General features: G+C 48.5%; 1 non-coding gene across 1 annotated transcript, besides 1 other annotated feature; it reads right to left on the reverse strand.

Annotated features, from left to right (window-relative positions):
* Positions 2103–2192: an enhancer, noted in NCBI's record as "active region_15076". NCBI's record gives its function as "activates an Ori minimal core promoter by ATAC-STARR-seq in GM12878 lymphoblastoid cells {active_cell/tissue: GM12878}" and the evidence as "EXISTENCE:reporter gene assay evidence [ECO:0000049][PMID:35858748]".
* On the reverse strand, positions 4397–4464 carry MIR7975 (microRNA 7975). Its single transcript, NR_107015.1, has one exon. It is a non-coding gene; the product is annotated as a microRNA 7975 (primary transcript).

Below are 12838 nucleotides of genomic sequence, written 5' to 3' on the forward strand. Positions count from 1 at the left end.
CTTTCACTGGCCCGCGCTTCTCCTGCGCCCACCCGGACCTCCTGGGAACCGCCCAGGCCCTCGCGCGCTCTCAAGGCATGCTGGGATTGGTGGTCCCGGGCAAGGAGTTCCAGCAGGTGGGGGGCGAATCACCTTTCAGCGGGCCCAAGCGATGAGCACACCTTGATCTTCACCTTACGGATCCCGCGCCCAACTCAAGATTGGGAAGGTGGCTGGCACTTTGTGACAGGAAGAGTCCCATAAAAATCATACAGAAAAGGGCCAAAATCGGGACAGAGACTACAGACTGTTTCCCAAGCGCTGTGGGAGTTTCCCACCCACTCTGAAGTCCTTGGGTTTGCGCGGAGACGTAAACTGCGCATCCCACGAGGCCTGTTTCTTTCCCTCTCTCTTTCTCTTTTGTTGTTGTTGTTGCTGCTGCTGTTACGAAAATTTTTGTGGTTTTATTGTATCATGAGGCATTGAAACATCCGGCGACTCAATGTCTAGGCGGTGAGGCAGCCGCTTTCTCCTTCACTTTCTTTGGGTTAAGTAGAGCAACTTGTCAGTAGTTTTGTTTTTTTTTGTTGTTGTTGTTGTTTTTGAGACGGAGGCTTGCTCTGTCGCCCAGGCTGGAGTGCAGTGGCGCGATGTCGGCTCACTGCAAGCTCTGCCTCCCGGGTTCAAGCGATTCTCCTGCCTCAGCCTCCTGAGTAGCTGGGACTACAGGCGTGCTCCACCACGCCCGGCTAATTTTTGTTTTTTAGTAGAGACGGGGTTTCACCATGTTGGCCAGGCTGGTCTCGAATTCCTGACCTCGTGATCCGACTGCCTCGGCCTCCCAAAATGCTGGGATTACAGGCGTGAGCCGCCGCGACCGGCCAGATTTTTTTTTTTTTTAAAGGACAACCTTTTGCATTACTTAAGTCTTTCCAAGGCATGCGCTGGTACAACACAAACTTTTCCCATTACATGCAGCTAGTCTAGTGTCCAGACGTCATGCACAACACCTCCGTGGCATCAGCGCACTGCGCCCACTCCCACTGCGACCCTGCTCATTTGTGCATCATATCTGGAGGAGTGGCAATAGTTCTGGAAAGAGGAGGGAAGAGGAGGCAGCGTGAGGGCCCGGTGGAGAGGAGGTCAGCTGAAGTTGTGCAGAGCAAGCCTGCATATCATTGGTGCAAACCCAAGCATCATTGCATCGCTGATGTTTTGTTTTGTTTGGTTTTGTTTTGTTTTTGAGACGGAGTCTCACTGTGTCGCCCAGGCTGGAGTGCAGTGATGTGATCTCGGCTCACTGCAACCTCCGCCTCCCAGGTTCAAGTGATTCTCCTACCTCAGCCTCCCAAGTAGCTGGGATTACAGGCGTGCTCCACGCCTGGCTAATTTTTGTATTTTTAGTAGAGACAAGGTTTCACCATGTTGGCCAGGCTGGTCTCGATCTCCTGACCTCAAGTGATCCACCCGCCTCAGCTTCCCAAAGTGCTGGGATTACAGGCATGAGCCACCACACCCAGCTGATGTTCTTTAGTAGGAATATCTGGTGGAACCCCAAGATGGGGTCTTCATCCGCCACGAAGCCTGTTTCTATAGAAAGGGATAGTTCTGGTGGCTCTTAGGTGTGGTCCCTGAACCCCACACTTTCCACATACTTACACACCAACCTCCTTCCCCCAGGAAAACAAGAAGTCGGTCTTCAGGGTGTTACCGTGTAGCTCTGGTTCTGTATGTATTCTGTGCCTTTATGTATAATTGTGTGTATTTGCAATCATGTCTGTGGCTGGATGTATGTTGTTTATGAGTTTGTGTTTATGGTTTGTTTTTGTTTGTTTGTTTGTTTGTTTTGAGATGGAGTTTCACTCTTGTCATCGCCCAGGCTGGATTGCACTGGCGCAATCAAAAAAGAGTAAAATAACAGAAATCAGAATGGGCTTATAATACTCTTACCCCTCTCCACACAGGACAGAAGAGTCAATTTTATACTTTTGTGGATGTTCTAACTTCACCTGCTTATCTGAACCATCTTTATGGTGCAGACTAATATCTATTTTTCTGCTGTTACAGAAGAAGTGGGAACATTTTCTTCTTATCTTTCTGAGGTTATTTACACCAGTGAGGAGGGCCTGCAGTTCCAAGGTTAAGCACCAACATTCCACTGTTACCATTGAGAGCAAAGAGCAGACCCTAGAAGTGAAAACAAAACCTTTACCACAGGAAGACAAGAGCAAAAGATGATGTTCTTGAGTGGCATATGAAGATGCTCACAGCCAACATCACATGCCTATCAGATATTTTATGTACATCATCTCATCAACTCCAGGAGGCAGAGACTAAGAGACTAGCCCCAGTCACAGAGCTAGAAATTGGCCAAGACAAGGTTCAATCTGAGGACTGTCAAATCCAGAACTGGAATTTCTTTTTTTTTTTTTTTTTTTTGAGATGGAGTCTCGCTCTGTCACCCAGGCTGGAGTGCAGCGGCATGATCTCAGCTCACTGCAACCTCCACCTCTTGGGTTCAAGCGATTCTCTTGGGACTACAGGTGCACGCCACCACGCCTGGCTAATTCTTGTATTTTTAGTAGAGACGGGGTTTCACCATGTTGGCCAGGATAGTCTCAAACTCCTGACCTCATGATCTGCCCGCCTTGGCCTCCCAAAGTGCTGGGATTACAGGCATGAGCCACTGCACCTGGCCTTAGAAGCCTCAGTTCCTGATGGCAGTTGGGATCTGCCTTTCCTTCCCTGGACTGCCTACCTCTTGTCTTTTAGGTTACATATGAGAAAACAAACCTCCAATTCACCAAAACTATTGTTATTTGGGGAGCTGTCTCTTACTATCAGCCAAACATAACTCCTCAATGACACTGTTAGTTTAGCACTGCCATTATAATCAGGAGGGATCTGGGTCCAGCTGCGGGAACATGAAGAGGCACTAGTGGGATGACCACAGCCAGCCCCTGTTGATTCACCAGGAGACTGCAGATGCATGAGCAAGTCCAGCCAAGATCAGCCAGACAAGAACTCCCAGCGGAGCCCAGCCCAATTTGCCAACTCTCAAACTATAATTTTTTTTTTTTTTTTTGAGACGGAGTCTCGCTCTGTCTCCCAGGCTGGAGTGCAGTGGCGCGATCTCCCCTCACTGCAAGTTCCACCTCCTGGGTTCACGCCATTCTCCTGCCTCAGCCTCCCGAGTAGCTGGGACTACAGACGCCTGCCACCACACCTGGCTAATTTTTTTGTATTTTTAGTAGAGATGGGGTTTCACTGTGTTAGCCAGGATGGTCTCAATCTCCTGACCTCATGATCCGCCCGCCTTGGCCTCCCAAAGTGCTGGGATTACAGGCATGAGCCACCGCGCCCAGCCCTCAAACCATAAGTTAAATAGATGACTGTTGACTCAAGCCACTAATATTTGGGGTAACTTTTTTCTTTTTTCTTTGCTTTTTTTTTTTGAGACCAAGTCCCACTCTGTCATCCAGGCTGGAATGCAGTGGCATGACCTCGGCTCACTGCAACCTCCACCTCTGAGGGTCAAGTGATTCTCCTGCCTCAGCCTCCTAAGTAACTGGAATTACAGGCACCAGCCACCATGCCTGGCTACTTTTTGTGTGTTTTCAGTAGAGATGGGGTTTCACTATGCTGACCAGGCTGGTCTTGAACTCCTGGCCTCAAGTGATCCACCCGCCTCAGCCTCCCAAAGTGCTGGGATTACAGGCAGGGGTGAGCCACTGCGCCCACCTGGGGTAACTTTTTATGCCACAAAAGCAAACTGATGCAAGGCATTCCAAGAGGCCTTTGAGCCTCTTGCAAGTCAAGCTGATTGCAAGACACTCTGCCTTTGATAAAATGTAGTGGACAGAGAAGCAGTGGTTTCAGTGGCAGAGATGACAAATTGTTGCCCAATATTCGTTGTCCCCTTCTTTCTCAACAAAATGGAACCTCTGATTATGCTGGGTTTAGCATAGCCATCTAGAATAATGGTTACATATCCCAGTGTCGGGCCTCCGAGCCCAAGCTAAGCCATCATATCCCCTGTGGGCCTGCACATATACATGAAGATGGCCTGAAGCAACTGAAGATCCAAAAAAGAAGCGAAAATAGTCTTACCTGATGACATTCTACCATTGTGATTTGTTCCCGCCCCACCCTAACTGATACGATATATTCTGCCTGGTCCTTAAGAAGGTACTTTGTAATATTCTCCCCCGCCTTTAAGAAGGTACTTTGTAATATTCTCCCTGCCCTTGAGAATGTACTTTGTACGCCCATCCCAAACCTATAAGAACTAATGATAATCCCACCTTTGCTGACTCTGTTTTCGGACTCAGCCCACCTGCACCCAGGTGAAATAAATAGCCTTTTTGCTCACACAAAGCCTGTTTGGTGGTCTCTTCACACGGACGTGCGTGACATTTGGTGCCGTGACTAGGATCAGGGGACCTCCCTTGGGAGATAAATCCCCTGTCCTCCTGCTCTTTGCACCGTGAGAAGGATCCACCTATGACCTCGGGTCCTCAGACCAACCAGTCCAAGGAATATTTCACCAATTTTAAATTGGGTAAGCAGTCTCTTTTTACTCTCTTCTACAACCTCTCTCACTATCCCTCAACCTCTTTCTCCTTTGAATCTTGGCGCCACCCTTCAGTCTCTCCCTTCTCTTAATTTCAGTTCCTTTCCTTTTCTGGTAGAGACAGAGGAGACGTGTTTTATACGTGAACCCAAAACCCCAGCGCTGGTCACGGACTCGGGAAGACAGTCTTCCCTTGGTGTTTAATCACTGCGGGGACGCCTGCTTGATTATTCACCCACGTTTCAGAGGTGTCTGATCACCACGGGGACGCTTGCCTTGATCCTTCACCCTTAGTGGCAAGCACCACTTTCCTGGGGGGCAAGCACCCCCCACCCCTTCTCTCCATGTCTCTACTCTCTCTTTTCTCTGGGCTTGCCTCCTTCACTATAGGCAACCTTCCACCGTCCGACCCTCCTTCTCCCTTAGCCTGTGTTCTCAAGAACTTAAAACCTCTTCAACTCACACCTGACCTAAAACCTAAACACCTTATTTTCTTCTGCAATGCTGCTTAACCCCAATACAAACTCGACAATGGTTCTAAATAGCCAGAAAACGGCAATTTTGATTTTTCCATCCTACAAGATCTAGATAATTCTTGTCGTAAAATGGGCCAAAGGTCTGAGGTACCTGATATCCAGGCATTCTTTTACACATTGGTCCCTCCCTAGTCTCTGTTCCTAATGCGACTTGTCCCAAATCCTCCTTCTTTCCCTCCTGCCTGTCCCCTCAGTCTCAACCCCAAGCGTCACTGAGTCTTTTCAATCTTCCTTTTCTACCGACCCATCTGACCTCTCCCCTCTTCCCCAGGCTGCTCCTCCTCAGGTCGCTCCCCACCAGGCTGAATCAGGCTCCAATTCTTCCTCAGCCTCCTCTCCCCCGCCCTATAATCCTTCCATCACCTCCTCTCCCCACACCCGATCCAGCTTACAGTTTTCTTCTGCAGCTAGCCCTCCCCCACCTGCCCAGCAATTTCCTCTGAAAGAGGTGGCTGGAGCCAAAGGCATAGTCAAGGTTAATGCTCCTTTTCCTTTATCCGACCTCTCCCAGATCAGTTAGTGTTTAGGCTCTTTTTCATCAAATATAAAAACCCCGCCCAGTTCATGGCTCGTTTGGCAGCACCCCTGAGGCCCTTTACAGCCCTAGACCCTGAAGGGTCAGAAGGCCTCTTATTCTCAATATGCATTTTATTACCCAATCTGCTCCTGACATTAAATAAAGCTCCAAAACCCCCACAACAGGACTTAATTAACCTCGCCTTCAAGGTGTACATTAATAGAGTAGAGGCAGCTGCATAGCAACATATTTCTGAGTTGCAATTCCTTGCCTCCATTGTGAGAGAAACCCCAGCCACATCTCCAGCACACAAGAACTTCAAAATGCCTACGCCGCAGTGGTCTAGCATTCCTACAGGACCTCCTCCATCAGGATCTTGCTTCAAGTGCCAGAAATCTGGCCACTGGGCCAAGGAATGCCTGCAGCCCGGGATTCCTCCTAAGCTGTGTCCCATCTGTGCAGGACCCCACTGGAAATTGGACTGTCCAACTTGTCCGGCAGCCACTCCCAAAGCCCCTGGAACTCCGGCCCAAGGCCCTCTGACTGACTCCTTCCCAGATCTTCTTGGCTTAGCGGCTGAAGACTGACACTGCCCCATCACCTCGGAAGCCTCCTGGACCATCACAGATGCTCTGGGCAACTCTTACAGTGGAGGGCAAGTCTGTCCCCTTCTTAATCAATACGGAGGCTACCCACTCCACATTACCTTCTTTTCAAGGGCCTGTTTCCCTTGCCTCCATAACTGTTGTGGGTATTGACGGCCAGGCTTCTAAACCTCTTAAAACCCCCCAACTCTGGTGCCAACTTGGACAACACTCTTTTATGCACTTCTTTTTAGTTATCCCCACCTGCCCAGTTCCCTTATTAGGTCAAGACATTATAACCAAATTATCTGCTTCCCTGATCATTCCTGGGCTACAGCCACACCTCATTGCCACCCTTTTCCCCAGTTCAAAGCCTCCTTCACATCCTCCCCTTGTATCTCCCCACCTTAATCCGCAAGTATGGGATACCTCTACTCCCTCCTTGGTGACCGATCATGCACCCCTTACCATCCCATTAAAACCTAATCACCCTTACCCCACTCAACACCAATATCCCATCCCACAGCACGCTTTAAAAAGGTTAGGCCGGGCGAGGTGGCTCACGCCTGTAATCCCAGCACTTTGGGAGGCCGAGGCGGGCAGATCACGAGGTCAGGAGATCGAGACCATCCTGGCTAACATGGTGAAACCCCGTCTCTACTGAAAATACAAAAAATCAACCGGGTTTGGTGGCGGGCGCCTGTAGCCCCAGCTACTCGGGAGGCTGAGGCAGGAGAATGGCGTGAACCTGGGAGGCAGAGCTTGCAGTGAGCCAAGATCGTGCCACTGCACTCCAGCCTGGGCGACAGAGCAAGACTCCATCTCAAAAAAAAAAAAAAAAAAAAAAGGTTAAAGCCTGTTATCACCCACCTGTTACAACATGGTCTCTTGAAGCCTACAAATTCTCCTTACAACTCCCCTATCCTACCCATCCAAAACCAGACAAGTCTTACAGGTTAGTTCAGGATCTGTGCCTTATCAACCACATTGTCTTGCCTATCCACCCCATGGTGCCAAACCCGTATACTCTCCTATCCTCAATACCTCCCTCCACAACCCATTATTCTGTTCTAGATAAACCTAGCTGACCCCATAAATCCTAAATCCTTTCCCCACTCCCCTTTCCATTCCTTAAAAAACAGCCCTGGCCGGGCACAGTGGTTCACACCTGTAATCCCAGCACTTTGGGAGGCCGAGGCAGGTGGATCACAAGGTCAGGAGATCGAGACCATCCTGGCTAACATGGTGAAACCCCATCTCTACTAAAAATACAAAAAATTAGCCGGGGGTGGTGGCGGGTGCCTGTAGTCCCAGCTACTCAGGAGGCTAAGGCAGGAGAATGACATGAACCTGGGAAGCGGAGCTTGCAGTGAGCCGAGATCGCGCCACTGCACTCCAGCCTGGGCAACAGAGTGAGAGACTCTGTCTCAAAAAAAAACAAAACGAAACAAAAAAACAAAAAAAAACAGCCCTAAAAGCTGCTCCCACACTAGCTGTCCCTAACTCATCCCAACCCTTTTCATCACACGCAGCTGAAGTACAGGGCTGTGCTCTCAGAATTCTTACACAAGAGCCAGGACCGCGCCCTATAGCCTTTCTGTCCAAACAACTTGACCTTACTGTTTTAGCCTAGCCCTCATGCCTGTGTGTGGTGGCTGCCGCTGCTTTAATACTTTTAGAGGCCCTCAAAATCACAAACTATGCTCAACTCACTCTCTACAGTTCTCATAACTTTCAAAATCTATTTTCTTCCTCATACCTGATGCATATACTTTCTGCTCCCCGGCTCCTTCAGCTGTACTCACTCTTTGTTGAGTCTCCCACAATCACCATTGTTCCTGGCCCGGACTTCAATCCGGCCTCCCACATTATTCTGGATACCACACCTGACCCTCATGACTATCTCTCTGATCCACCTGACATTCACCCCATTTCCCCATATTTCCTTCTTTCCTGTTCCTCAGCCTGATCACACTTGGTTTATTGATGGCAGTTCCACCAGGCCTAATCGCCACACACCAGCAAAGGCAGGCTATGCTATAGTATCTTCCACATCTATCATTGAGGATACTGCTTTGCCTCCCTCCACTACCTCTCAGCAAGCTGAACTCATTGCCTTAACTCAGGCCCTCACTCTTGCAAAAGGACTACGCGTCAATATTTATACTGACTCTAAATATGCCTTTCATATTCTGCCCCACCATGCAGTTATATAGGCTGAAGGAGGTTTCCTCACTACGCAGGTGTCCTCCATCTTTAATGCCTCCTTAATAAAAACTCTTCTCAAGGCCACTTCTCTTCCAAAGGAAGCTGGAGTCATTCACTGCAAGGGCCATCAAAAGGCATCAGATCCCATTGCTCAGGACAACGCTTATGCTGATAAGGTAGCTAAAGAAGCAGCTAGCTTTCCAACTTCTGCCCCTCACGGCCAGTTTTTCTCCTTCACATCGGTCACTCCCACCTACTCCCCCACTGAAACTGCCACCTATCAATCTCTTCCCACACAAGGCAAATAGTTTTTAGACCAAGGAAAATATCTCCTTCCAGCCTCACAGGCCCATTCTATTCTGTCGTCACTTCATAGCCTCTTCCATGTAGGTTACAAGCCGCTAGCCCATCTCTTAGAACCTCTCATTTCCTTTCCTTCGTGGACATCTATCCTCAAGGAAACCACTTCTCAGTGTTCCATCTGCTATTCTACTACCCCTCAGGGATTGCTCAGGTCCCCTCCCTTCCCTACACATCAGGCTCGGGGATTTGCCCCCGCCCAGGACTGGCAAATTGACTTCACTCACATGCCCTGAGTCAGGAAACTAAAATACCTCTTGGTCTGGGTAGACACTTTCACTGGATGGGTAGAGGCCTTTCCCACAGGGTCTGAGAAGGTCACCACAGTCATTTCTTCCCTTCTGTCAGACATAATTCCACGGTTTGGCCTTCCCACCTCTATACAGTCTGATAACGGACCAGCCTTTATTAGTCAAATCACCCAAGCAGTCTCTCAGGCTCTCGGTATTTAGTGGCTCCTGGTTTTACCTCAAATCGCCTTAAGTCTCTCTTGAAGTGGATAGATCTTCAGTGGCAAGGTACCCTCCAATACTTTCACCCTGATGAAGTCCTATTCTTTACTTCTATGCTCACTGTTATTCTGGTTCCCATTCTTTTTTTTTTTTTGAGACAGAGTCTTGCTCTGTTGCCCAGGCTGGAGTGCAGTGGCGCGATCTCGGCTCACTGCAAGCTCCGACTCCTGGGTTCACACCATTCTCCTGCCTCAGCCTCCGGAGCAGCTGGGACCACAGGCGCCCGCCACCACACCCAGCTAATTTTTTGTATTTTTAGTAGAGATGGGGTTTCACTGTGTTAGCCAGGATGGTCTCAATCTCCTGACCTCGTGATCCGCCCGCCTCAGCCTCCCAAAGTGCTGGGATTACAGGGGTGAGCCACCACGCCCGGCCTTGGTTCCCATTCTTATGCCATCCTCTACCTCTCCCCAGCTATCTCCACCACACTATCAATCTCACTCTCTCCCAGCCATTTCTAATCCTCCTTTAACAAACAATTACTGGCTTTGCATTTCTCTTTCCTCCAAAATTGCCAAGGCCTCGACTTACTCACTGCTAAAAAAAAAAAGGACTCTGTATATTTTTAAATGAAGAGTGTTGTTTTTACCTAAATCAATCTGGCCTGGTATATGACAACACAAAAAAACTCAAAGATAGAGCCCCAAAACTCACCAGCCAAGCAAGTAATTATGCTGAACCCCCTTGGACACTCTCTAATTGGATGTCCTGGGTCCTCCGAATTCTTAGTCCTTTAATACCTGCTTTTCTCCTTCTCTTATTTGGACCTTGTGTCTTCTGTTTAGTTTCTCAATTTATACAAAACCGCATCCAGGCCATCACCAGTAATTCTAGAAGGACAAATGCTCCTTCTAACAACCCCCAGTATCACCCCTTACCCCAAAATCTTTCTTCAGTTTAATCTCTCCCACTCTAGGTTCCCACGCTGCCCCAATCCCACTCGAAGCAGCCCTGAGAAACATCGTCCGTTATCTCTCCATACCACCCCCAAAAATTTTCACCGCCCGAACACTTCACCACTATTTTGTTTTGTTTTTCTTATTAATATAAGACAGGAATATCAGGCCTCTGAGCCTAAGCTAAGCCATCATATCCCCTGTGACCTGCACGTACACATCCAGATGGCCTGAAGCAACCGAAGATCCACAAAAGAAGTGAAAATAGCCTTAACTGATGACATTCCACCACTGTGATTTGTTCCTGCCCCACTAACTGATACCATATATTCTGCCCCACCCTTAAGAAGGTACTTTGTAATATTCTCCCCGCCCTTGAATGTACTTTGTACGCCCATCTCAAACCTGTAAGAACTAATGATAATCCCACCATCCTTTGCTGACTCCCTTTTCAGACTCAGCCCACCTGCACCCAGGTGAAATAAACAGCCTTGTTGCTCACACAAAGCCTGTTTGGTGGTCTCTTCCCACAGACGCACGGGACACCAGCATCCCTACCAACTGGGTATGATAATGTAATTAACTTCTGTCAATGAGACTGAGTAGGAGTAAACATGTCTCCTTCCATTTTACCCCAGTCTGCGGTCTGAAACAGAGTGGGAACTATCTTACCCTATGGGCAAAGGCAACCCCCTGGGGAAAGGAGCTACACAGTAGGATGAGCTTGGACCCAGGCAATGTTACAAAACAGAGCCATCATCCCAACTCAGACTTTTACATGTGAAAGAAATCAACTATTGTCAGCCAGGCAAAGTGGCTCACACCTGCAATCCCAGCATTTTGAAAGGCTGAAGCGGGAAGACTGCTTGAGCCCAGGAGGTTGAGGCCGCAGTGAGCTGTGATTGCACCACTGCACTCTAGCCTGGGTGACAGAGGGAGACCCTGTCTCAAAAAAAGAAGAAGGCCGGGCACGGTGGCTCACGCCTGTAATCCCAGCACTTTGGGAGGATGAGGTGGGAGGATCACGATATCAGGAGATCAAGACCATCCTGGCCAACATGGTGAAACCCCGTCTCTACTAAAAATACAAAAAAAAAAAAAAATTAGCTGGGTGTGTTGGCACGGGCCTGTAATCCCAGGTACTTGGGAGGCTGAGGCAGGAGAATCGCTTGAACCAGGGAGTGGGAGCTTGCAGTGAGCTGAGATTGCGCCACTGCACTCCAACCTGGTGACAGAGCGAGACTCCATCTCAAAAAAAAAAAAAAAGAAAAAGAAAAAGAAATTAAAACAAAAAAAGAAAGAAAGAAAAAGAAAATCAACTGTTGTGTTGGTCCATTTGGGCTGCTGTAACAGAACACCGTAGACCTGGTCATTTACAAACAATACAAATGTATTGCTCACAGGTCTGTAGGCTGGAAAGACCAGGATCAGGGCGCCAGAAGACTCAGTGTGGAGGGAGGGCCTGCTCTCTGCTTCACAGATGGTGCCTTCTTGCTGTGTCCTCACACAGCCAAAGGGGCAAGGGGCTCTCCCTCAAGCCTCTTTTATAAGGACATTAACCCCATTTGTGAGGGCTCTGCCTTCATGACCTAGTCACCTCCTAAAGTCCCGTGGAATACTATTGCATTCATGATCAGGTTTCAACATGTAAATTTTGAGGGGATACATACATTCAAAGCATAGCAACTGTCTGGTTATTTGGGATTTAGGGCCCAGTGGCCAGACCCACATGGTCACTAATAAGACATCCCAAATGGAAAGTCGGAAAGGCAGAACAGCAAACAATACTTATTGTCACTGAACTGACTCTCCCATACGAAACTTTACGTGTCACTTTTTAAATTTACTTTTGCATTGTGTGTGTGTGTGCGTGTGTGTGTGTGCGTGTGTGTGTGTGTGTGTGTGTGTGTGTGATGGAGTCTCGCTCTGTCGCCCAGGCTGGAGTGCAGTGGTGTGATCTTGGCTCACTGCAACCTCCCCAGTTCAAGGCGATTCTCCTGCCTCAGCCTCCTGAGTAGCTGGGATTACAGCCACCACTATGCCCAGCTAATCTTTTTTTCTTTTTTTTTGTAATTTAGTAGAGATAGGGTTTCCTCGAGTTGGCCAGGCTGGTCACAAACTCCTGACCTCAAGAGATCCTCCTGCCTCCAGCTTGCAGTGAGCCGAGATCACGCCACTGCACTCCAGCCTGGGTGACAGAACGAAACTCTGTCTAAAAGAAAAAAAAAAGAGATCCTCCCGCCTCTGCCTCCCAAAGTTCTGGGATTACAAGCAGGAGTCACCTCGCTTGGCCTGCTTTTGAATTTCTTAATTTGGATATGCTTAACATATCATAAGATGTACCAACTAAAGTACAATTCAGAGTTTTTCAGTATATTCACGTTGTGCAACCATCACCACTATCTAATTCCAGAACATGTTCATCATCGAAAAAGAAACGCCATTCTCTTAGCCGTCATCTCTACCCACCGTCCCCTAGCCCCTCAAAAACACGAACCTCCTTCCTACTTCTGTGGATTTGCCTATTCTAGAAAATTCATATAAGTGGAATCATATGTGACCTTTGATGTCTGGTTCCTTTCGCTTAGTATGTTTTCAAGGTTCGTGCGTGTCACACCACATGTCAGCACTTCATTCCTTTCCGTGGCTAGACAACATTCCACTGTGTGGATG

The sequence above is a fragment of the Homo sapiens genome, chromosome 19, assembly GCF_000001405.40.
Source record: "Homo sapiens chromosome 19, GRCh38.p14 Primary Assembly".
Taxonomy (NCBI): domain Eukaryota; kingdom Metazoa; phylum Chordata; class Mammalia; order Primates; family Hominidae; genus Homo; species Homo sapiens.